The sequence below is a fragment of the Homo sapiens genome, chromosome 8, assembly GCF_000001405.40.
Source record: "Homo sapiens chromosome 8, GRCh38.p14 Primary Assembly".
NCBI lineage: Eukaryota > Metazoa > Chordata > Mammalia > Primates > Hominidae > Homo > Homo sapiens.
In genome coordinates this window covers 105,142,126-105,169,651 of record NC_000008.11, presented here as the reverse complement: position 1 = coordinate 105,169,651, position 27,526 = coordinate 105,142,126, and the positions used below count along the sequence as shown (strand labels likewise).

The 27,526-nt window shown below is 35.2% G+C and overlaps 1 long non-coding RNA gene across 1 annotated transcript in view; it reads left to right on the top strand.

The window, feature by feature from the left end:
- Positions 1 to 26,792, top strand: part of LINC03084 (long intergenic non-protein coding RNA 3084) — a 45,936-nt gene extending 19,144 nt beyond the window's left edge. Inside the window, exons 2-3 of the long non-coding RNA NR_187537.1 lie at positions 2,163 to 2,234; positions 25,905 to 26,792. This is a non-coding gene — a long non-coding RNA (long intergenic non-protein coding RNA 3084). The remainder of the gene's footprint in view (positions 1 to 2,162; positions 2,235 to 25,904) is intronic.
- The last annotated feature ends 734 nt before the right edge of the window (positions 26,793 to 27,526 follow it).

Genomic DNA, 27,526 nt, shown 5'->3' with positions numbered 1-27,526 from the left:
GTCCATTGCATTTTCTATTTTAATTTTATATATATATATATATATATATATATATATATATATATATATATATATATATATATATATTTTACTTTCAGATGTTCTACCTTATTTGTTTGAAGTCTGTCTAGTATTTTTTGTGGTATCATATTCTTTTTTTTTTTTTTTTTTTTTTTTTTTGAGACGGAGTCTCGCTCTGTCACCCAGGCCGGACTGCGGACTGCAGTGGCGCAATCTCGGCTCACTTGCAAGCTCCACTTCCCGGGTTCACGCCATTCTCCTGCCTCAGCCTCCCGAGTAGCTGGGACTACAGGCACCCGCCACCGCGCCCGGCTAATTTTTTGTATTTTTAGTAGAGACGGGGTTTCACCTTGTTAGCCAGGATGGTCTCGATCTCCTGACCTCATGATCCACCCGCCTCGGCCTCCCAAAGTGCTGGGATTACAGGCGTGAGCCACCGCGCCCGGCCGGTATCATATTCTTTCGTTAAGATTTCTATTCCCTCTTATGTATCTTCAATCATTTAAAAATATTTAAAATAATAATTTATTTTAAATTGTTTAGTTTTCTCCTGGTTTTGAGAGTACTATAATTTTTGTTGCATCTGCTAACTCATTTCAGCCTGGGTTGTTTTCATAAATGATTTAGGTAAAAGTCTCTGGAGCCAGACTTGTTAGATTTTTAACCTGGTCATGAAATTCTATACAACTGTTATAATTTAGTGGAAAAGTTATCTCTCGGCTTCATTTTTATTTCTCCCCCAAAATAAGAGATATAGTTGGTTATATGGCTATAAATTTTATAAGAAAAAAAGCAAATTTATGAATTAAGGATAAGTGAAACTTGAAAACACTTTTAGGTTTTTAAATCCTGCCTCCACCACTTAAAATATAGATGGCTAATGCTGTAGATTTTGCCTCCAAGCCCTTACATTAGAGTTTTTTTCTGTTCTTTTCTTTCTTTCTTTCTTTTTCTGACTACACTGAAAAGACAGAGTTCTTTGGATACTTTGAAAGGACAAAATGGATAGAGTTTTTCTTATCCACTTTTCCTAGGGCTCCCCTTTTCAGTTGGAAGTGTTATATCAGAATCTTTGTTCCAGCCCATTGTCTCATTTAACCAGAAGTTAAGTCTCCTGTGCATTAGAGGGAATAAAAACCTCAGTGCTCCCAGATCAAAATTCATATGAGCTATTATCTACTTTTCATGCTGGATTTTCAGTTCTCTTTTTAATTTTGGAAACTGAGGCTATCTTATTTCACTTACGTGCATGCGTATGTCTGTGCGTTTGTGTATGTCTTTCTTTTTGAACTTGATTATTATGCATTTGTTATTTTGTACTAGCACGGTTTTTTATCATGTTTTTCTGAGGGGTTTGAGAGGTTAAGGGGACATCCACATTTGTTCCACATGGGGCTAAAAATCACCTTAGAATAGATTTCTAAAAGTAAAATTTCTAGGTCAAAAAGCCTACACTTTTAAATTTACAGTTTTGAGGTGCTTTTAAATTTCTCTCCCTCAAAAGATGAGTCATTACTCCTGCCTTCTCATGGTGTCTGAGGGTGCCTACTGCCTCATACTTTTGGCTATACCATATACTACAATCTGCGGAGAAAAATTATCCTGTGTTCTCTAATTTTACTTTTGCTTACTACTAATGACTTTGGGAAACTGCATCTATATTTGCATTAATATTTATTCTGTGATTGCCCATTCACACACTTTTTAAAAGGCCAATATCCTTTTTAATCTTCTAATTTATGTACCTCAATGGATGAGCAATAAATAATAATTAATGATGTCACGATATCTATCTCACTCTATAGCATATACTTAGTGAGAGGTAAGCAGCCCCATTTCCATTGTATAAGGATGACTATATGTTACTATATGTTAGAGATAGAAGTTAAGTAATTTGAAAATTATATCTAAGGTCACACAATTATGAAACTGAAAAATCAATTTTTGAATCAAATCACCCAGGAGTATGGTACCTGTGTTCTAAAAACGCTACACTGTTTAGTGAAGCCACCCTTAAAGCTCATCCCAAAATAATGTCTAAAGAAACATACATATAAGATACAGCTTTAAACAATAAACGACAATTCTGAGTCAGCGCTAAATACTCATAGTGGAATGTCAATATCATCCCCTCTCCACAGAGAATTTTACTATCTGAGAAGCTGGTGGAGCCTAAAGACCTGAGGATTTCTTCCTAGCTGCAGCAGAACACGGTAAACTAAGGGAGTTTGATTTGCATTGCTCAGTGTTATTTAATGAAAAGTTTGGATTAATTGGTTACTATCTCCCAAGAGACTCCCTAAATGAAAAGTCTACTGGTTGTCCATATGTTTTCTAGCAATAATGATTACCAGCCATACCTTAAGTCCTCTGAGGCTCTGAAGACTACGCCTTGGTTAGTATGAGAATTTTGGCAGCGTGAGGTACTAAACTGTCTAAATAAGTGAACTACGGGGATGACTTGTACTGACAGCTAAGAAAAGCCTCTTTGCTCACCATTCCCTTCTCCAGAATATTTCATTAATTTTTTCAATAAATATTTATTGAAGCCAGAACATAAAGTGGATATAAAAAGACCATACCAGGTGGCAGGTTACGGCAGTTTAAAAGGACGGATGAAAGGGGGTCCCTTGGTGCTTGGAGCAGCATCCGTTGTCATAATTAGCAAAATGTTAGCTTGAGAGCTCAAAATTTAAATAGAAAATGATCTTTCTTATGATGACCTCTGCCCCTATCTTTTGAAGGTACTCTTTGAGTCTGACCACTGCCAGGCATTAGTTACACCAATTGTCTCAACCTTTTCAACAATCTTTTCACTACAAGGAATTCACAATATGCCTTTCAGGTGTGGAAAGAAAATTCATACGCAACCTGTAAAAACCTAGCAGATGGTACAGTAATTTGTATATACATACATGCATACAGGATATATTCCTGGAGAATGAATCAGATTCATGTTACACCTATTTAAATGTTTCATTATATTTAATTTTAATTCATTTATTCATAATTTTAACCTCTGTAAGGACACGCATTATTTAAATTAATAGACAGGTAAACTGCATCAACAAAACTGTAGCATTTAATGTTGAAGATAACTGACATGCATGAAGTCATTGTATTAAAATATTGGTTTATCTATGGTTTTGCACAGATGGAGCTAGTAATTAATATTAAGCTATTTTTTTCATCAGGGGATTCCCTGTTAACAAAATTCACCTAGTATACAATAAATTGCTACATTATACCATCTGAGTAGGTGATGAATTGTTTATAAACTTATTAATACTAATACATTTTTCTCAGATGCAAAATATGTAATACTCCTACTGGCCAATGTATTATTGAAATTAATAAATTTAATAAGTTGGACAATATGGTCTACTCTGAAAAAAAATTCTTAACTGCATATTTGATCATAGATGTACAGAAAATATGTTCCATGCCATCTGGATTCTGAGAACAACATCAATTTCAAGATATAGAAGTTATTTGAATAATTAAAGGTAGCCAGGAGCAACACAGCCTACCACTTTAAAAAGGGCCTTCTGAAGGGAAGTATTTTTCCTGAGTGGCCAATAGATACATTCTTGGCCATACCAGAAATGTCAGGGAACCTAAGCAGCATGGTTGCATATAAGCAGGAAAGTTTAAAAAGAGTTTAAAATGCTCTCTTTCTAATCAAGGGCTCTATTTAGCATAAATCCTCAATAAGCTCACTTGTCACATGATGAGGAAGGACAGTTCTATCACTTCCATCTGAGTAAGTCATTCAGCAGGACACTCAAATTGAGGCCTTGGGAACATATCTGAATTTTACTAGCACCTCCTACAGAGGGCATCAAAAGTGGAAAATTGATGTTAATAAATCTCTCCTTATGCCTCTTTCAGAGGGATCAAAATATAACAAGCTAGTTTCATTTCTAAAGGATTTAAAATTATCATTCCTTATTTTTAAAGTGCCATGAAAATGCTGTTGAAATTACATTCAACTCTCAAACAGTAATTTACTGACCAAAGAATGATCTATTAGGAAACAAGATTTTCAAAGTAAGGAAACACTAAGGTAAATAAAAGGTATCATTTATTCCTATGTTTGACCCTCTAAAATTAGGATTGGGTTAGATCCGCTATGAAACCCTTCCAATCTTTTAATGACACATCCCTGGTTCCTCTCTGCCAACAGTCCTGGTTCTTAATACAAAAGCTTGTCCATTTAGTAGACTAGAATACAATGACATCCTCAAAATCATCTCTTTGGAAGGGAACCTGAGAGATACTAATATTTCATATTAGTCACCGGGTGTCACCATTCCAAGTTCATCATTTTTGTTTTATGAGGAATCAGACCCATATAGTTTAATGTGAGGGAACTTAACACATGAGTTTCTCTTCTTGCGTGAGAGGCAACCCTGGCAAATGACTATAGCCTAGAATATGTCTGGATGCAGAGTTACAGCACAGGCCTCAGTGGCCGGGAAGACACAGAGTTGGAAATAAATTGAAAAAACTGGAACACTGTTAAAAAAAAATCAAGGAGTCACCAATAACTGTAACCTCACTTTTGAGTTCTAAACATTGATGTTGATTTTTATAACTCCTTGCAGAAATGCAGCTCAATCATTACTCCTGGCAGAAAAGTGATGCTCATTCATAGATGGACCCAGATCCTTACTGGTCTCAGAAATCCTGAAGAATCTCCTTTTTTTTTTCTTTAAAATCTTTTTTCTATCCTCATCATGAAAAGAATCTCAATTCATTTTCATTTGCAAACTAAATACATGCTATACCATATGATGCTACTTAACAAAAATCAATATTGTGAAACATAATTACAAATATCCATGTCCTGGCTTTCTGGTCTCTTTCATTATTAATAAACTGAGATCTTGGCATTGTTTGCTTTGGCAAAAAAGCAAACGTGATTGATCCCTTAAAAATCCCCTGATTTGAGAGTTGGCTAACAATGTATGAAATTTCAGGTGAGGACATTAAAATTCAAGTTGTATATAAACCTTAAAACACACTGTGAAAAAATAAGCTATGTCAAAACTAATAAAAATACCTTGTGCATTATAAATGTTTTCTTGACTGGTAAAAATACGTTTTAGGTTTATCATTTAGAGTTCATCATTAAATGATTAAAACATATTCCTAACTTTTTATATTATGTATATGTGGAATACAAGTCTCACTTATAAATGAATATATAGAATGCGAGTGCCACTTATAAAACATCTTGTATTTGTCAATGATATTTGGTAATACAAAAAAGTCTATATTTCACTTGATATGCTTTATGGGAAGAACGTAGCAATACATTCTACAATCAATGTAAACTTTGTTCTGATAGTAAAGCAGTTATAATTACATAATAAGATATATGTTTCTAAATTAACTTTCATATGGAAAAATATTTACAATAATAGTTATAGAGTAAGGTGCTTCAAAGATGTTTGAAAACGTTTCTGCAAGCTATAATATTATAAATAATCTATGGATGTCTTTCGTTTTTTGTGTTAGAATAATATGGCAAAAGGACAAGCTAAGAGTAGGGTTGACTTACATGTGAAATTGGACGTGTGGGAAATTAGGATAGAGTTTCTAATAATCCAGGAATTAGAGCTCAAAGAAATATATTTCAGGCAAATCTCCATTGTCCATTCTTAATACATCCACCTTTATATATTCACTATGGGTCTTCATTTCAAATTTCCTGATAGTGCCTATTGATTGCATTTGGCTTATTCTCTTACATTAATAGGAAAACTAGTTTATTAACCATTTTATTAATCATGGCTTTTGCTTACATACTTACTTTGCTGACATTTCTCATTCTCTGTTTATTCTTACTTAGATTATGAAACTATAAATTATTCTTAAAATTTTTGTTTTCAAAACTTCAGGGGACTTTAGAAGCCATCCAAACACTTCAGTTTCCAAAAGAGAAAACAAAAGTGCTTTGCCCCAGTTTCACACAAATCAGTTGCAACCAGCAACCATTCAAAGCCCAAACACCTAAGGCCCTCCAAGTGTTAGGCTGTATATTCCTTAGGGGCCTGGAATATAATTCACATGCCTTGGTTTTACACGTATTTGTAGAGCATGAGCTCATTAAGTGGCGAAGAAGGAAGGAAAAAAGAAGAGAGGGAGAGAGGAAGGAAGGAAGAGAGGAAAGGAAGAAGGAAGGAAAGAAGGAAAGAAAAGGGATGGATGGATTGTTACAATATAGTTTAAAATATGACACCAAAAGACATCTAATACATTAAAGGAAACTGTTGAGCTGAGGTCAGGATGGGGTAAATGAACCATTTCCCACTTCATCCCAGCTCAGATATTCCACTAAGCCTTCATTGTTTACTTGTAATTGCCTACACATACATACATAATTATGTGTGTGTATGTGCACATGTGTTGTTTTTAAGGAAGAGCAGATGTAGGATCTAGGAACTATTTGGGAAACATAAGAAAGAATAAGGGTACATTTTATAATCAAACTATTAAAAATTGATGCTCTGATAACTTTTTATAAACTATAGAAAATTATAAAAACAAAAATACAGAGCAATGGAATTTGAATTATAAACATATAAGATTAAATATATTTACATAATAAAATCATTCATTTTTTTATAACCACCATGTATCTTGTCCTTGTCTAGTTATTATCTTATTGATTCTCTAAGTTTTGTTTTTGTCAACTGTATTATTGATTTTCTCTAAATATTTAATTTGTAAAATCTACAAACAGGGAGTCAAAACAACACATGGTAAAAATGAACACCAGAATTTATGAATATCAATAACCTGTATTTCAGTATTTTTTAATACTCAGTGCAGGGCCCTAGAACCATGCTGCCTGAGTTCAAATATTGACTCCTTCACCCACCAACCATATGACACTGGGCAAGTTATTGAATCTGCCTCAGTTTCTTCATCTGTAGAAGACAAATGATAATAGTACCCATTCTCCATGATTGTTATAAAGATCAAATAAATTATGACAGATGCAGCACTTCGAATATCACCTGCCACATCCTGCTATCAATATGTGTTAAAAATTGATGTTGTGATATAATTATACTACAATGGTTGTTTGAATGAAGTAGTTTAAAACGTTAATTTATCATGAATTCAAGTTAAAGTAATGGGACTTGGTTAGGTGCCTTAAATAAATATGAATAATTGTCTTAAAGAAGGTTGGTCATATTAATTTTTTGTCTATTAAAAATACCTAGCGATAATGGCTAAGGTGTATGCACAGAATATATTTAAAGTGAAGAATAATACATTTTCATTCAAACTTACCATGTAATTTCACCCTATTGAGCCAAAATTGCCTTTTCATTAAAGACATAGCCTTGAATCTCATAATTTGCTTTGCATTTGAACTCTTCTTTGCCTAAGTTAGAAGAGAAAGTCATAAAATTGGGTATTTTCCTTCAACAAATACTTATTCATTGTAATCTAGTTGAGTTGTGTTTCAAAAAGTCTTTCTAAGAAATAACAAATTTTAATGATCAGTTTATCTATACTGAAAATACCAGGTAAAGCTAGAGTAAATGTATTTATTCAAACAAAGGGCAATATAACAATACTGCCATTTTCCTTGACCTTTTGAATTTTATTCTAGGACATCTCCCTTTGTCTTCTCTTTGGTTGTCTTATACATCTCCATTAACTACTAACATGGTGAAAAGCAGAGTAGTATTATTGTAGTCAGCTCTGTTGATGCCCCCATTCACTCTGAGGTGGCAGTGAGTTACTGCATCCCCCAATCCACTCTCTGTAGGGCAACCAATGGCCAGTGACTGAGTGGTACGGGGCACAAAGATTCAGCTCCTTGTGTAAAGGGCCAGCAAACTCTATGGTGTAACCTACACTGTAGTGCTCCCTTTGGGCTCAGGCTGAGTCTAGGTTTCTCCAGACACCACCTCCTTGTTGAACTTCTTCCCCTTTTCTGTTTTGCTTCCCTCATTCCAGTACAGATTTCTCCCAGGAGCACAACTTAATTCTCCAGCACATGAGTCCAATTCTCAGGTTATTCCTCTAGGACACTGGTCCCCAGCCTTTTTGGCATCAGTGACCGGTTTTGTAGAAGACAATTTTTCTATGGACCTGGGGGTGTCGGGATGGTTTTAGGATGATTCAAGTGCACTATATTTACTGTGCACTTTGTTTTTATTATTACATTGTAATATATAATGAAATAATTATAGAACTCACCATAATGTAGAATCAGTGGGAGCCCTGAGCTTGTTTTTCTGCAACTAGACAGTCCTATCTGGGAGTGATGGGAGACAGTGACAGATCATCAGGCATTTAGATTCCCATAAGGAGTGCGCAACCTAGATTTCTTTGCATGCACAGTTCACAACGGGGTTAACCCTTCTATGAGAATCTAATGCCAGACTCAGGCAGTAATGCCAGCAATGGGAAGCAGCTGTAAATACAGATGAAACTTCACTCTTTTGCTGGCTGCTCTCCTCCTGCTGTGTGGCCCGGTTCCTAACAGGCCACTGTCCATGGCCTAGGGGTTGGGGGCCCATGCTCTAGGAAACCCTTCTAAGCTAAGTACATAAAGATTGAGCAATGCATTGAGTCAAATATCCAGTGCTGGATAAAGAAAATGTGGCACATATACACCATGGAATACTATGCAGCCATAAAAAAGAATGAGTTCATGTCCTTTGCAGGGACATGGATGAAGCTGGAAACCATCATTCTCAGCAAACTAACACAGGAACAGAAAACCAAACACTGCATGTTCTCACTCATAAGTGGGAGTTGAACAATGAGAACACATGGACACATGGAGGGGTACATCACACATTGGGACCTGTCAGTGGCGGGGGCAAGGGGAAGGAGAGCATTAGGACAAATACTTAATGCATGTGGGGCTTAAAACCTAGATGATGGGTTGATGGGTGCAGCAAACCACCATGGCACATGTATACCTATGTAACCTGTACATTCTGCACATGTATCCCAGAACTTAAAGTATAATAAAACATACACACACACACACAAATATCCAGCACTGCCAGTTTAAGAGTGAGACTTTAGAAAAATTGTTTACCAGTATAAGCCTCAGTGGTCTCATCTGTAAAATGTTGATAATGATACTTCATCTCCAATGCATAATTGTTGCGATTCAAAAATGTAAATTAAGATACTTAAGAGGGATGTATTATTACCCATGTGAGCACTTTTACTTAGCACTTCTGGAATAATTTTTTATTTTCTTTAAAACATAAAATATTTCTTGATGAAAAAAAATTACACCCACTCCCACTCTCAATTACTTTTTCTATGTCTTAATATATTGTTGAATCTTGTTTTTTTTCTCCTCTGATGAAATTGTGGTTGCTCCAAAGCTGAATTGCCCCAAAGTTGAATACAGGAGAATTTAAGTCACACATATTTTAAAAACTATTACTAAGCTACTGAAAGCTGGAGCCAGAACCTTCCTCACAACTCACAGAAGATGCAAAAGAACCAGCCCACTAACACAATCATAATTCCCTCCCACCTACCACCTTCCAGACACAGAGAGAGTTCTCAGAGTGACGAGCCAGGGGAGTGAGCGCAGAGTTTAGCTGAGAAGCTTTTTCCTGCCCTCTTCTCCTCCTCTTTAATGGTACATTATCTCCCACAAAGAGCAAGTGAAGTAGAAAATTCTAGAAGGTGGTACTGTGCCTTGGTCCTTGTCTGAATGTTTGTCTTTCTGGGTCTTGACTCCATTAGAAGGGAGCTGAGCATGGGGAGAGATAACTGAGAAAGTGACATATGTTCCCTGTCTGGATAGTCCTAAAAGTAGGAGAGATGCTGATAGTGTTGCCATAGGAGGAGGGGGAACTGCAACGCAGTATAGGAAGGTAGAAGGCCCTTGATGCATGTGGAGGGGCCCAGAGAGCAACAGGAGTTGTCCTCTCACCGTTACGGGAGTAAACCACATGGAATTGCTGGCAGAGACCAAAAGGAGAAAATGGCTTTTAGAGGGAGATTTCAGTGATGAAAGGTGCTGGATGATCTAAAGAAATTATACAACACATTAGCCCTAAGCAGAACCTGAGGGAGGCAGAGCCAGGCAGAGGAAACCTCCATATTGATGATGTAGCTTTCAGCTACCAACTGTGTAGGAGCTGGGCCCAAAAAAAGACTTTGTGGGCCGGTTGGGGGAGGAGGCGGAGAAATAGTAAAACAGAACTGCCCCTCCAGAATCCTATCCTCTAATGACAAACTTGATCAGCATGGGGGAGAGGAAAACTCTGGATTGAACAGGAAATGTATAAAGTAGACTGGATTAAATTTTAATAACCAAGAATGACCAGAAAGTTAGGAAATCTGCCCAAGAATTCATTAAAAACACAGGACAGGGCAATTCCACGGAGTACAAGTGAAAGCAATGATGAAAAGGAAGCAAATCATTTATACCCTACTGAGTTCAAACTCCTCAATCAGCTAGCTACACATCAGTAGGTAATTTGACCTGCAAATTATCCAAACTGAGTAAGACTGCAAAAATATTAAAACCAAAGCACATGGGTTGGTACTAAAGAATTTCAATGCAGTAAGGGAGTCCATTGAGAAGCTAAGAGCATGGGTTTTGGTGTTAGACCAAACTGAGTTGTAATCCCAGTTCTCCACTTATCAGCTGAGTGACCCTGGGCAAGTTTCTTAGACTCACTAAGCTGTGGTTTGCTGATCTGAAATTGGAAATTATCTATAAGTTTGTTGTAAAAATTAAATGAAATAACAAATGTAATGTGTAATGTGCAGCTCGTGGTAAACATTGAAATAGTAGCTACTATGATTTATTTACTATTATTTGTAAATCTAAAATAAAGTTATAGGTCTTTTTTATTTTCAAACTACATTATGCAACATTTAATTCTTCAGTGGCTGGCATTGCACAAAAGCCACCATAAAAAGACAGAAATGAGGTCATTAGTAGAGAATTCGACCTTTTATAAATTAATAAGAGATAATTTCCCAAATTGAATTTTATTGGCAAAATAGCTCATCCCTCACCCCCTTTCCAAATACATCAAATATTACATTCTGCAGTTTGGTGAGGGGCTTCAGTTGTACCATCTTGTATATTTATTTATTTATTAAATTAGGAGTTTGTCTACAGTGACATACTTGTCCCTGTTTGTCTACAGTGACATACAATAAACAACCTGCTTATTAGTTTTCCCTTAAGCTTCTGAGAATTGCACCCCCCTTTTTGATTTGCCCAATTGTCAGTACTTTTTCTTCTCTCCTTTCTGGCCCATTATCTGCTTAGTAATGGATCCCTTTAACCCAAACAGCAGGTTTATGTGTTCCCCGTTCCAAAGAGACAAGCTGACCCATCAGAATTCACCAACATCTGGCACCCAAAGGCTGCACTCTGGCTCCGTCCTCTATTGATGTGAGGGGATTTTTGTTTGGTTTGGTTTGGTTTGGTTTTCTTAATAAACATAGTTTCAAAAATAAGATTTCCCTTCAGCTGATTGTTTTGCATATTGTGCTGGCTCAGGGTTTAGAGAGAAAGACATAAATGATTTCCTAAAACACATTCTTTAGAACAAAGACTATAGCTGTCCTTGCCTACAGACTGAATCTGGCATACTTCATAGCTCTGAAATGCTCACTGGGTTCTAGCCCTGCAGGAGTCACCAGAGATGCAGGGCTGCCCCTTCTAGCTGGTCTGACAAGGGTAGTGAGGGCTGAAATTCAGTCTGTGTGCACCTCTCCATGCCTTTACCTTTGCAAGGCTGTGTCTGACCAGAGGGGGTAGCTTTAAAGGGCTGAATGGGGGTGACCTTGATAATTGTACTAAATTATGTATAAAATTACAGACTGCTGAGTATGAAGATGTGTTCAGTGACCCTCCTGTGACCCTTGAAGGAAGAAGTAGAAGTATAGAGATAAGTGGGATTTTGAAGATGCAGCATAACAGGTGGGAGAAAAATCTGGAAAAGAGGCTTCCAAGAAAGAGCTGCATATGGCTCTGTGAAGCATCCCACCCTGTGCCATCAAATAAACCAAGCCTTTAAAAAATAATTTTTCACCATATCTATTAAAAATCTGACATATATGAAAATGTTTCTGGTATCATCAGGATATTGTATATCTTTTTGATAGAGTATGGCACCTGCCACAGTGACAATCTTTATTTTTGAGTCAACATAATTGGTCACTCAGGCCTCTGAAGTTCTCAATATGGAGAAAACAGAGAAAGCAGAGTTGTTCATTATTAATACTTTAGCTTAACCAGCATAGGAACAGGATGATGTTGACAAATGTAGATAAATGTTGTTTCTTAAGAAAGACATATTTACAGAAGAGATGAATTTGTAGAGCAAAAATGGCAATGTTTACAGATGAGAAAATAAGGAAGACTGAGTGACTTATTTATCTAGAAGAATTTCGACTTGAAGAGTGATTTGAATAAAAGTATGAATTTCTATGCCATAGACAACACATATGATAGAGAGAAAAATGTAGTAAAGAAGTATTTCCTTAGGGAAAAAAGTAGAAAAGGAATTTTGAAACAAGTCATTTGTATTTATGCACTTAAATTTCAATCCATAGGATACAATAAATAAAGAAATATAAAATGCTATCTTTAAGAAGGCAAAAATATGGTCTTCATTCTAATGATGATATTATAATTAGAAGAAATTTCTCATTGAATACCTCTTCCTCTGATATAGGAGGTCCGGCATAGGTAAACTCTCTGAAGTTAGCTATTCAGTCTTTCTCATATTTGTATTTTCCTTGTGTTTTACAACAGTAAATACATGTTTCATATTTATTGGAGAAAAATTAGATCATGATGCAGAAGGTCGCACAGAGAGTGATAAATAGTCCTTGGAAGAAGATAAAGGACAAAGAAGCACAAGCAAGTTACATTATCATTCTTAGGGGTATCAGTGCAGCAGATTGCATTTTCTGAAAATGGCCACAGAAATATGTCCAGTTTCACATGATCTTTCTCAAATGCTCTTCCAGAACCTTATAATCCTCTCAGCAAAGAATTGGATTCTATCTCTCTTCCCCTTCTAATTGAATGACTCTTTGTAGGTGTTTTAATTATAAAATGTAGCAGAAGTGATCCTGAGTGACTTCCAAGGCTAAGTTATGAAAATTAACATAGCTTTCACCTGGCTCTTTCTCTTGGATGCTCACCATTGGAGCCCAGCCACCATAGTGTGAGGAAGCCCAGACCACATGGAGAGGTCACATGCAAATATTCCAGGCAACAGCCACAACTAAAGTCTTATACAATGACTAGTATCAACCACTAGACATGTGAGTGAGAAATAAGCCTTAGGATGATTATATTACCCATCCTTCAAACTGCCCAAGATGTTGACAAATGGAGCAGAGGTAAGGTACTGTCACAGACTCCTACACAATTTGCAGATTTGTGAGCTAAATAACCCATTATGTTTTAAGAGAGTTTGTTACACAGCAATAAATAAGACACTCATAAGAAGTATTTGGCTAAGCAGGAGAGTAATGATACTTTCTAATATAGATTATAATACTCGAACTGTTTAAAAACAGTGTGTAGGATACAGGAAACTTGTATTTTGGATAAACCATTGTTTTAGCACAATGCTTACCTCACAGTAGGAATTGGAAACAACTTAATTTACTTGGAAACCACATTCTGATAAAGCAAGGCACCTGAACTTGCTGTGCTATACTCTCAACCAGAAGATTAAAGAGTCAGCGTGAGTAAAGGAGATATCTCTTATCTTAGCATGCGACGGCATTGTTTCTCCTTTCTTTTGGTGGTAGCACCCTATTGTTCTTTATATGCAATTAATGAATTTCTATATCATGTTCTTTGAGTTGGGCTGTCACTAATGGTGCTTTAATCCCTGGCTACATGGGTAAGGTGATGATTCAGTCTAGCAAAGAAGAGTGCTGCATCCCCCCATAGTACAAAAACTGGCTCAAGGACGGGCAAGTCACCTAGGCAGAACTAACCAATATCTTCTCTGACTTGGAAAAAGAGGGTGGGTCGGTCGGTCTCTCTCTCTCTCTCTCTCTCTCTCTCTCTCTCTCATCTTAAGCTGTAAGAGTACCAGGAGCCATCTTCCATGCCACCTGAGAAAGCCTGACTGAAAATGGAGCCTGGGTAGGGGAGTGGAGCCAGGTCATGAAAAGAGAGAATGAGCCCTTGATGCTGACATCAGAGCCAAGCATGCCTGATACTAACCTCACCCCTCCTCTTTCCAGTTAGGGAGCCAAATATTTCCTTTGTTTGCTAAGATTTTGGTTACTTGTCATGAACAAGTCCTAATTCATATTGATGGAGACTGTTCAACCAACATGAATCACTTTGAGAAGTACTCATGATAGAAACATGAAGAGACTTTACCATGATGTTTTCTTAAAGGTCAAAATACTGAGAAAAATACTGGGTAAAGTTACATTGTTCGGATCAAACTATAGCAATAGTTTCATAGCCAGCATTTATTTAGAGAAACATAATTCAATAATGCTAGAAAATTCTAAATCAAATAAATTCTAACTATAAAATCACAAATACAAATAATCTCAGTATTAGAGAAATGGAGAAGTATCCCCCCAAAATCTGATTCTGTTCCCTGATAATACATTAGTTACCATCTGTTTTGCTACAACACAATGGTTTCATTTCCCCTAAACTCTTAGCTATCAAAAATTGTATTGCAAAAATAATTGTTTTAGAGACAATAGAAGAGGTTAGGCCCTAGACAGTGACAGATTCATCATAACAAACTTTTTTCCTTGCAGATATTTCAATGATAAATGGATTATCTAGCTAGAAGTATATTTTGTACTAAAAGCTAAAATAATAAATTGGTTGATCAAAAATGACAAAACAAACCCAAACACTGAGAAAATCCAAAAGCGCATTGACCAATATGAAAGTATTTCTAGATCACTAAAATACATTTCAACATAGGTCTCAACTGTAAATAATATAATGAAGTATTAACTGAGAAGTGGCCAAAGTAGCTAGATTTTTGATTGAGCAAAGCAATAGTTTCTTTCCTGTGTGAATACTGTAACATCTGCAAAGGATAATGCAAACCATCTTTCCTAAACAATTAGATATGTTCATTGAGTTTTAAAATAGAGGAAAGCTCTTAAAAATGGACATTTGTTTGCCTGATTCATTATGGCTATCTCTGACACACTGGGACTTCAAATGATAGCAATAAAAGATGGAATAAGAGGCATGTACACACACACAAAAAATGCATTCCAAAAACGTTGTATGAACAACTAAGGATTGCCTCAAGAAAATATAAAACCAGAAGTAGAGAGACTTTCAAAAATGCCCATTCTAATAATAATAGTGCAATGCTAACAATAATAGAGACGTCCTTTTTACATACATCTGGGGCAAGAACAAGAAGGAATCGGTCTGTCTCATGCAATAGACAATGTAAAGTTAATGAATGAAAGAAAATGAATGCACTTCTATTTTACTCCTATTTTCCATCAAAGAGAATGACTTTTAAACTGAGAAAGGTATAACAAACACGGTTGAAGGAACTGAAACCTAAGATAGGTGACTAGATAGCCAAGTGCCAAAATGCTGTAAAAAGGAGTTCCAGTCTCTCAGCCTAGAAAGACACAATTAGGAGGCTGAGGCACTTTGAGCAGAGGATTGCTTAAGTGGAGGAGCTACAGATCAGCCTGGGCAACAGAGTGAGACCCTATCTCTACAAAAAACAAAAACAAAACAAAATTAGCTGGATGTGGTGGCACACGCCTACACTCTTAGCTACTCGGGAGGTTGAGGTAGGAGGATTGCTGGAGCCCAAGAGCTTGAGGTTACAGTGAGCTGTGATTGCGCCACTGCACTTCAGCCTGCATGACAGAGTGAGACCCTGTCTCAAAACAAATAGATAAAATAAAATAAAATAAAACATTTAGAAAAGAAAGCAATGATCATTAGGAGTCAGCAGAGGTTCATCATGAATAAGCTGTGCACCACTAATGGAATTTCTGTTAGCACGTAAATACTGTAGAAAAAGGACAACAGTATATTTCAGTTCTTTCAATTCCTAATTGTGTGACTGTGTGCACAAATCCAACAGACCAACTTGTAGTAGATGGCCACATAATGTGAAAACTTTGAAAAAACTTGTATAAAACAATTAAAAGCCTCATGGAGGATTAAGGGAATAGAAGATGATGAATTCAAAGAATAGATTCTGGAGCTAGACTGTCTGGTTTTGCCATTTACTGCGTGACTTTGGGCAAATCACCTAATTTCTCTGTACCTTTTAATATAAAAATGAAAAAATAATAGAACCTATATCATGGGTTTGCTGGGAAGATTAGATGAATCTTCCTATAAAGAACTTAGAATAGTGTCCGGAGCAAAGTTAGGAGAATAAATGTTAACTTTTATTATCGCCGTTAACATGTCTCAAATTAGGACAAAGTGGAGAAACAAATTTTAGGAAACTACAAATATGTATACAGATGTTCCCCGATTTATTATGCAGTCCCAATAAACTCATCATTAATTTAAGATATCCTAAATCAACTTACAATGGGCTTATCTGAACCATCATAGGATTAGGTGCATACTGAATGCATATTGCTTTTACACCATCTTAACGTTGAAAAATCGTAAGTTAAACCATCTGTATTTGTGTGGATTGAATGAACACAAATAAATAAGTAGTACTGATTAATGAATTACTATCAGCAATATCCATTCATTTATTTAAATAAATGTTAACTGAGTACATAGCATGTACCAAGCCCTGAAGTGGGGCACAGAGATGGAAAGATAAAAGGTCTCAGTATAATGACAGAGGCCCTGCTCCTTTCAATGTTTTTATCACTGACTTACATGCAATATATGGCACACTTTGAGTACTCCAGATAGAACAAAGCTAGAAGGAAATACAAATATGTGGGATGGTAAGTCGAAAGAGAAAAATATTTTGACAAATGGAACAAATGACCTAAATTAAAATGATACAATTTGAGAGCTCAAGCTAAATACTATTTATATTTACAAGTATAATTTTATTTTAGAATAATATATACTTATGTTGACAGATCAGAAATTGGAAAAGCAAAAATAAAAAATGAAATATCATCTTTAATTCTACTATAACAATATAGTCTTTGTATCATATGTATAGGTCTGAATATCTTCATAATACATACACATATGTATACATGCTTCATGTACAATTAGTACATATACATGTGAACATATTTTTAAATGAAATTGAATTATGATGTTAATCTGTTTTGTAACATGCTTATTTAATCTAAAAATGAATATAGTTTCATGTCATTAAATTTCCATCAACATAGCATTTAGTACTACCTAGCATAAATTCAGTTATACTCTCACAAACAGCTTATGTATGACAGAGACTGACTGAGACTGACTGCTGCATAATACCTCCATTTCCTTTTCTTCCTGGGCACACAGCTAGCTACATTTCTTTGCAGCTAAAGGCAGCTCTGTGACTAAGTTATAGCCATTGGAAAATGAATGAAAGAGATGAGAGTGTCCCATGTGTGATTTTCCATGCACTTTCCTCTCTCACCTTGGAGTAATTTTGAAAATCTCAAGTTAAAAATGATAAAGCTACAAGACTGAAAGATCCTGAGACCTGAATCATCAGTTAGAGAAGGGACCTTACATGAATAAGAAATAAATTTTTTTCATCTTCTCATCATTGCATGTTTTTTTGGTTGTTTATTACAGCAACTGGTGTTACTTTAAGTAATACAGAATTAGTGTACCACCATTTCACTTTTCATATTCAAAAATTAGACATTATGCCTTTTAAAATGTTACCAACTTATAACAGCTGTTAAATTGTTTCTTCCATTTGAATTCTTTACATTAGAAAAGATGAACTAGGGATGGGTGGCATGTCATAATTGGCCAACAGTTTCAATGTGACGAAAGACCCAAGGGATTTAGTTAATTAATAGTGAAACATAAACCAAAAACATAATCAACATGCAAGTGGCATGGGATACTGGTGCTTAGAACAGGGGACAAAATAGCCTCATGAAGTTGTCCAGTGGTCAGACCAGACCTGAACTTCAGTTCTGGACAGCATCCCTCAGAAGTGAGATGAATGAACTACAGTTCTCAGTGAAAAGGACTGGGATATTTTTCCTGGAATATAGATACCAAAAAGAGGTGGGGCTGGCATGACAATAACATTAATGAGGATAACACAAATAGGCACTTCTTTTGGGGTGGGTATACTAATAATTACCCCATCACGAAAACCAGCCAAGTTACTTTTATTTGGGACATTATTATTTAAAACTGAAGAAACACAGAAAGCACAGCTTATTGAATAGATCTTATCACTCTCTAAATGTTTGCAGTTTGCATGGGTCCCCCTATCCAATATATCACAACACACACCAAAAAATGCATGTACACACACGTGCAAACACACACACAATCACACCTATTAGCATTTATTGGAAGAAGTTGACATTTTAAGGGCAAAGGCTAATAATAAAAGCTAATTTTATTAAGTGCATAGTGTATGTCAGGCCCCATTCTAATTGCTTCATATGTATGAAATGATTCACAGCAATTCCTCACAATTCTTTAAGGTGCATTCCATTATTATCTCTATTGCATAGATGAGAAAACAAGCCCAAAGAGAGGTAAGTAATCTGCCTGGCATCACACAGCTAGTGCGTGGTACAGCTGGGATTTAAACCAAGCAGTCTGGCACCAGAGACCATATAGTTAAATCACAACTTTAAGACTGAGAATTGAAAGCATAGAAGTAAACTAACAAAAGAAATAACACATTTTCAGGGAAAAAAATTGGGGGAAAATTGCTAATGAGATCTCAAATTTTGCAAAGTGAATTTTCATATTAAGTATTTCAATAGGTATATTGAATTACTTGTAGGAATGAATTTTTTAAAATAAAACATGCACATTTATTTATCTTTAGTTAAAGCAACATACTGTAAGTCTAGAAGCTAGGAATATTTTCCTAATACTTGGACTTTTTTTTCAACTATGCAACAAATAAATACATTGTAATGACAAGAATACTTTTTCATCTGTAAAATGGGGTTATGTGTGTTTACTTTCCTCATTTAATGTTAGAAAATTATGTGGTTTTATTTTCAGTCTTCAAATTAAATCTGTTAAATTAGCCTGTCACTTAAGTAAAATAAAAGTCTATGCCCATATATTCTTTGTCTGCTGTGGAATCTTTCATTCAATTATCTATCTCAGAAGCATTACCTTGTGGTTGCAGTGCGGAACGACCTTCGAATCCCGATATTGGTACTGACAGTCTGACAGTGCCCCTGCTGCCGGCCTCCAATCTCTACTCCTTCCTATATCCAAAGTGAAAATAATTTCTTCAAATCTCTCGCTCCCTTTCAATTTTTCCCAGGCATCAACTTACATATATTCTATTGTTTCCTTTACCCAAATGTCTAATATTGGTTTAAGGTTCTAGCTAAGAACCACATTCCCCCAGTCTTTCTCCCTCTATGCATTCTTACTTATGCTCCTGTGTATCCATGCCATGGCTCTTTCTTCTTTACAAAAATTCAAATCAAAATGTACCTTTCTGGAAAGACTTACTTTTATAATTCCTGTTAGCCATTGTATTAGTCTGTTCTCACGCTGCTAATAAAGACATATCCAAGACTGGGTAATTTATAAAGGAAAAAGGTTTAATGAACTCACAGCTCAGCATGGCTGGGAAGGCTTCACAATGACAGTGGAAGGCAAAGGAGAAGCAAAGACGCGTCTTATATGGCGGCAGGCTAGAGGGCTTTTGCAGGGGGACTCGCATTTCTAAAACCATCAGATCTCGTGAGACTTGTTCATTATCAGGAGGACAGTATGCAGGAAACTGCCCCCATGATTTAATTTTCTCCACCTGGCCCCGCTCCTTGACACATGGGGAATATTACAATTCAAGGTGAGATTTGGGTGTGGACACAGCCATACCCTGTCAGCCATGACCCTGTCTTTACTTTGTATTACCTCAACATGGACTAGGTATTTTTGTTTATATTGATCAAGTTTTATTGTCACAATGTCATTGTGATGATGATTGTGGATGGACCAAAGAGACTCAAATGTTGGTGAGTGGTCCACCTCTTTCAAGTAAGACTCAATAAAACCCAGAGACAAATATAGAGTGAGGTGGAAATGGGATGCAAATTCCACAATATTTCAGAGCAACACATGTCATTAAAGTTGGAATTAATTTGTGTTGTCATGGAACTTGGAAATCATCATATTCTCCCTATGGTATAATTAGATTATAATTATTTATCTTCAGAGATTTCCACATGGTAGTTGCTCATTAAATAAGTTATTAATTAATATTTTAATTGTTTTATCATAAACATTTAAAATAAAAAATCTATTATGTTGTAGTTACATATTTTTAAGAAAATAGTGGTTTCTGATGTGGGTCCTAATAACAAGAGGTTTCTATGAATGTAACCAATCTTTATAATAATCTGGGCCAATAAGTATGTAATAATAATATATGATATAATCAGTTATAAAAATAATAATACAAACCAAGAACTAGAGGAATCTTAATTGATCATTTCCTTAATAAGCCCTTCGTTGCATGTGAATCAAGTATTTACAAATAAAAGCATGCATTTGTTGTCTTTTGCAGCAACATGGACAGAGATAGATAGCGGAACTGACAGGAACAGAAAACCAAATGCCGCATGTTCTAGCTTATAAGTGGGAGCTAAACATTGAGTACACAGGGACACAAAGAAGAAAATGACAGACACTGAGGCCTACTTGATAGTGGACAGTGGGAAGGAGGGTAAGGACTGAAAAACTACCTGTCAGGTACTATGCTTATTATGTGGGTAATGAAATAATCTGTACACCAAACCCCTGTGACATGCAGTTTACCCATATAACAAACCTGCATGTATACCCCTGAACCTAAAATAAAAATAAAAGTTAAAACAACAACAAAAAGATGCATCTGAAATTAGATCAAGAAAATGTGGTATGTATATATATACAATGAAATACTATTCAGACCTAAAAAACAAAGGAGATCCTGTCATTTGTGACAACATGGATACACCTGGAGGACGTTATGTTAAGTGATATAACCCAGGCATTGAAAGGTAAATATCACATGATCTCACTTACATGCAGAATCTAAAAAAATTTTAACTCATAGAAGCAGAGAATAGAATGGTGGCTACCTGGGGCTAGGGTTAGGAACCTTGGGATTGGGAGAGACTGGGCAAAGGGTACAAAATTTCAGTTAAACAGGAGGGATAAGTTCAAGAGATCTACTTTATATCCTGGTGACTATAGTTAACAACAACATACTATGTATTTGAAAATTGCTAAAAGAGTAGATTTTAAGTGTTCTCACCACAAAAAATAAACATATGAAGTGATGTATATGTTAATTAGCTTGATGTAGCCATTCCACAGTGTATGCATATTTCATAACATCATGTTGTACACCATAAATATATACAATTTTAATTTTTCAACTGAAGTATTTTTAAAAACAAAAACCATGCATTAGTTTTGCTTTTATTTTTACACAAGATAAGTATTTATTTAAATGTGTACTTTTCTAAAATATAAATGAACATTTTAGAAAATAAAAATGATTTAGCTTATATTTTAATTCTGGACTTCTTACAATGACACATCTTTTTAAACACTAGTTTTTCCTTAATAATTCCTTCTCGTATCTTTCAAAATTATATTCGTAAAATATATATGATTCAAATTAACTATTTACCTGTACTCCAAAATCACAGTTTTGATCCCGAATTCCAGCCTACTGCTATAGAGGTTACAAATTAAGAACCAGAAGTTCTGATGACAATAAGTCGTTTTATATGAAAGCAGTAGTGTCAACAAATTATTATTTCTTCTCTAATTTTTAAATATTTTATGAGATTTGCATTAAATATAGAGAGACTATTTTAGAAGATTACACTGGTTATTTAAGTACCTGAAAAAAACAAAAAAAAATTAAATTTTATTTCTACCAAGTGTTTGAATAGAAATACCTAATATATGTAAGACAGAATACAAACACACACACACACACACACACACACACACATATTTTTTTCAGCCCCTTCTTTTCTTCCAGTAGTAGGTCTCTTATAAAATAATGACCAAATGTCAACACATAAGGATACTAACTTCATGACAATGCTTCAGGAAATATACTATTATTGTCACTCCTGGATGTTGGTATTATTTTTGTAATTATAAAAGTGAGGAAATCAAGCCCTATTATTAACATCTTAAAGATGATATATGATCAGTCACAATTAGAAACAACAGCTGTTTTTCTTTAGTTATTTCCTTAGTAGAGAAAAGAAAACACCTAAACTTCTTTTGATTAATAAAGACTGCAGTTATTACATAAAAGGCTGTGGAAGATTTTCCAGGGAGATTTTGAAGATAGGGGAATGTTATTTGGTTTAAGTATCATTCTCCAGCCCAGGTATCTGGGAAGGCCTTTCTGTTCCAGTTGCCCTTTTTTTTCAAGCACAACTTGATGTTCCCTGAGTGACTCTAATTCGACTATTTTTAAATATAGATGTCTATACTATACGTGTAAAATTTTGGGTACGTGATATCAATCAAAGATATGGTTAAGCTGTTTATACTTGAGAATTACCAATTTGGAAAATGTCTTCAAGTATCTTCAAAGAAGTGAACTCTAGATTCATATGAAAGAATAATTGGATACGAATAGAATGTATCTTGTTAGAGTTAACCAAAATGTGGACATTTTACAGCAAACTGTTGCCCAGGAAAGACCACTTAATGCATTTAGGCAAGTAACAAAATTATGATCCCTCTTTGGTGCCCAGAGCAGTGTAAGGATAAATAGAAGATTCTCAATGGCTACTTTAGATTGATGAATGCCAATATTCAGTGACCCATGGTGATAGCTTTTGAGAAGCTGGTGTGAGGAACAATATATTAGAGAGTTTGGCACAAAATATGAACAATTAAAAGCACTTTGAACCTTTTTTCCTTATCAAAAGAACTACCTGATCTGAGAGGAATTAACAGAAAGGGGAAAAGTGTTCAAGTATGTTTTCTCCAGGACTGAGTAAGTTTAAACCTCTTGGAGTTAGAGCAAGAAAAGGCAATGGATAAAGAAAGAATCATTAAATATTTCATTTTTGAAGATGTACATGATAACTCTACATCTGTGAGAAACATGTAATTGACACATCTGGCTCTTTGATTGCAAGTGTAGGAGAGGTTTAAGTTTTAGAATAGGTGGCATCTGATGAGAAAAAAGCCAATTTAGAGGTGGTAAATAGTTTAATTCCATCCAATTACAAAGAAAAGAGGAAGGAGAATGGGAGTGATGAAGGAATCCATCCATCATGCACAATACAAATAAAGGCCTGTCACTCATTTTCCTAATGTCGAAAAAAGAACTATTTAGTAATTTTTGACACCAAGGAAACCATTTGTAATAGCCTTCTTCACTTTTCAATTCATCCTTAAATTTAAAAGAAAGAGAAAACCCCATTTAATTGTTTCTATCATGTCAGTTCATCATTTATGAATCCGTGTCAGTGTCTTAGTTTTTTCAGTGAAATAGCTAATTCATATCGTATTTGTAGTCACCACTTCATAGTGAATCACTGCTGTTGATTTAGCCTGTCATCCAACACAGAACATCTCAAAACCATTTGCATCACTCTTCTTGCTATGATCTGCACATATGGTCATAATTAGGAATGTGATACCTTATATTTATTTCAAATACTCAGTGAATTTAGAATATAATAGTGAAAACAGCATAACTCATATGTCATAAGAAAAAATTTGTGTTAAACTACATGAACTAAGTTACAACTATTAATTATGTATAGATAAAACACCAATGATTGTGGATCAGAGCATAAGTATAAAATATACTTTGTATGAGAACAAATTTACAATTGATATATTTATAACTACCTTATATAGAAAGTTCAAAATATGAACTAAATGCATACTGTAGCATATTTGAGTTTTATATCAAAATTTTCCTTTTCAAGACAGAATACCCGGGAGAAGTTTCCTTTCCCTAAATATACCTGCAATTTTCAAGTCCTTTTAATTCACGCCTTTAAATGAAAGGGTTGAGTATACAAGGTCAGTGAAATTGTTATTTATGGTTGAAATGTTTTTGCTACATCTATTTTAAGAAGGGTCATATTTTTCATCTCATTTTTAAAATTGGTTTAAACTGTTTAGCTGACTATACAAAATTACTCAATGTGAAACTAGCAGTTTACTCCATTTACAAGCCTAGGTAGCATAGGAATTATTTAAGATTTTACAGTTAAGATGATTAAGTTAAAATTATATAATTTGATTGTTCTTATGTTTATAGTAATCGTCATTTTTTAAATTATTTTACTATTACTATAAAATATTTTCCTCTTAAATGTGTTTCTTACCTCTTTGTTTTGGTTTGTTTCTGAGGAAAAACTACAATGTCAATATTTAAATTGCTCACTAATAGACAGACCTTTGCACATCAATGCCAATATTTTATGTTAAGATGACCTGTAGTTATGGAGATCCTTGTTTTGTAACCGAAACAAATATCTTCAAAGAATATCACTGCTTACTGCTTCATTTTCCCTAGGAAATGCATCACCCAACTTAGTTGGTATTTAAAAAATTAGTATTATTTTCTCTTTTGAAGTTCTACTGAATTCAAAATGAATAAAAACTACTTAATGGTGAATATTTTTAGATATTCAAATGCACATTTTCTATCCTGGTCAATATTAGCAACTCTTCTCTAAGCTAAGAAAGCACGTCAGCCTTGTCATGCAGACCAGCATAAACTGCAGATTTGTGAGCATCTAACCGCAGGAAGAATGCATTGCTGAAGCTAAACTAGACTATTAAGAACACTTTCAGTGCTGGCCAGTGTTCTAGTCCAGGAGTTAGAGAATTAACATACAATATATTTATTTCAAAATTTTAAAAGAAGGCATTAACAACTAAGCAAGATTTAATTCTATCTGGAAATTGCAAGAATCCTGGAAGTGAAAGTTCCTATATTTGTGATTTTTTGAACTGCACACTTGGTGGAATGACTCCCACTACTGACCCTTTTCTAAGTCAAAGGGGATTTCAAAGTGTAACTATTTACAAGTTAAAATGAGAAGGAAGCAAGTCTCTAAAAAATAAAAGTTTATCGTAAGACTGAGGAAAATAGTCAAAACAATGACTACTGAGAAAATATTATGATTATTATATTGTTATTATTTTTGCCCAAGGTCTCTAGGCATTTGAAGAAGAAAGATTAAACAAAAACAAACATTTCATTTGTAGGTAGACTCAAAAAAATAACTGAGTAACCTTGACCTCCATCAGCACACAAAATCCTACATAGCCAATGACAGACTTCATTGTTTAAAGACTACTTGGGAATGATTAAGAAAAAGATGATGTAATCTAATATGTGATAAAGAGAGATATAATATTCTCTACTGGAAGGCATTCCTATCATGTCATATCAAAGTCTAGCAAAACGTTGAAAGTTAGAAATGTTATCAAGCATTAGCAGGCATTTAAAGAACGTCTCTTGAATATTTCTAGCATAAAAAAGTATTTCATGTGATGTAAATGAATGGTAATTTTCTGACTTTAAAAGAGAGCTGTGCCAGTACATTTCAGCGTTCTGGACCCAATTCTGCAAACATGGAGACGCTTTCAATTTGCTCTGCCTGCCTTCCCGCCTTAGATGGCTGCGATTGCAGCGAAATTAATCCATTTAAAAATCTGCGGCTTAAACTTAAGGATTTTCAGTTTTTTCCCCCTTCTCTCTTTTTTTTTTTCTTAGAATATCAATAAGTTCCAATTGAAGAGCGGATTCTTTTGCAATTCAGGCATGTGCCGGCGATAACGGGCGAGTTGGCATGAAGAGAGGCAGAGATGGATTAATTATGCAGAGAACATGGAAATTCTGCTTATCATCGGCTAGCAAAGGAGCCCGGCTCACATAATCAGCAAACGAAGGGAGAGGAAAAAATAACAATGCAATGGCACCTTCCAGCCCATCATCAGGATTTTTTCTACCCCCTTGTAATTAAAAAATAACATACACTTATAGCCCTATCTCCTGTGCAGGCAAGGAGTGGATGTCCACAAAATAATTGCACTGGGATATTAGAGCTGGCGACACGGGCTGTCCATTCCGGCTTGCTCTCCTGCTCACCCTCTCTTTCTCTTTTGGCCTCTCAGGCACTTTGCTTCTGAACCCAGTCCAAATCAGAGAGACGTCTCAGGTGACATTCAAGCTCGGTTTCCAAAAATCCCAAATTGGTACCTTATCATGATCCAAGCAAACATACATACATATATGATAAATATTTGGAGGGCTGACTCTAGAGGAGGCTTTGGAACTGATCACCTGTGGACTATCTGGTCAGTTTCATTTTTTATGAAACATGTCCAAATAGCCTTCATTTTGCAAAGTGGCTGGATTAAAATGGTGGCTGTGCAACGGCTGTGCTATCTTCTCAAATCATTTAACTTACCTACAAGTTTTTGTTTCTATTCCCTTTGCCAACTCATTTTATAAATGTTAAGTTAATGATTGCAATGTCTGCACCTCAAAATCAGAATTCGCAATTCTGTATTGTCATTGTAAAATCTGACAGCTCAATGCCTTGTATTTCTCTAAATGCCAAAAGACTACAATAAACCTAGTTTATTGCTTTAAAGAAAATCGAATTCAATCTTACATTTGTATCCATGTGATTTCTAATTCTGAAAATTAAAATGTAAACACATATGTTAAATAATGATACTCCTGACTGGATGCCATGGAAGTTGGTTTTGCTGTTTTAATTGTCACTCAAATAATTTGACCTAATTACAGACATAAGCCCGAACAAGCTCTCCGGCCATGAGAGAGGCCATTTCTTACTGAAGAGTTATTGGTGAGCTAGAGAAACAGAAAGATAAATATAAACCTGGAAAGACAAAAATTATACAACACATAAAGGAAAGATGTTCCAAAGTGCAGTAAACTGAATTAGAAAGCTGGCAGACTCTAGAAATGTAATTTATTCATAGAGTTCCACCAAAGCAGGGAACCAGTGTGGGGCGCAGTTTACACGCTTGTGGGAATGTTTTAAGTGACAGTGACTATAATAGACTGATTTTTTAAAACTAATTATTTCCATGTCTATGCATATGGACGCACATACACTAGTATATATGAATATTATCAAAAACAAACACTGAGTAAAGGATCGAGCAAATGTTTAGAGATATTTGTGATTAGGGACTTTGTTAGTTTCTGAGAGTGGAGGAAAAATAAAATCAGAAAAAAAAATACTCGAATGGGGGCTGGGTTAAGGGTGAAGAAAGGGAAAGAAAAGAGAGAAAATCCCACTAAAGAGAACAAGAGAATAAAAATATGAGGAAGAGAAAATTGTAATTGTGACAGTAGAAATT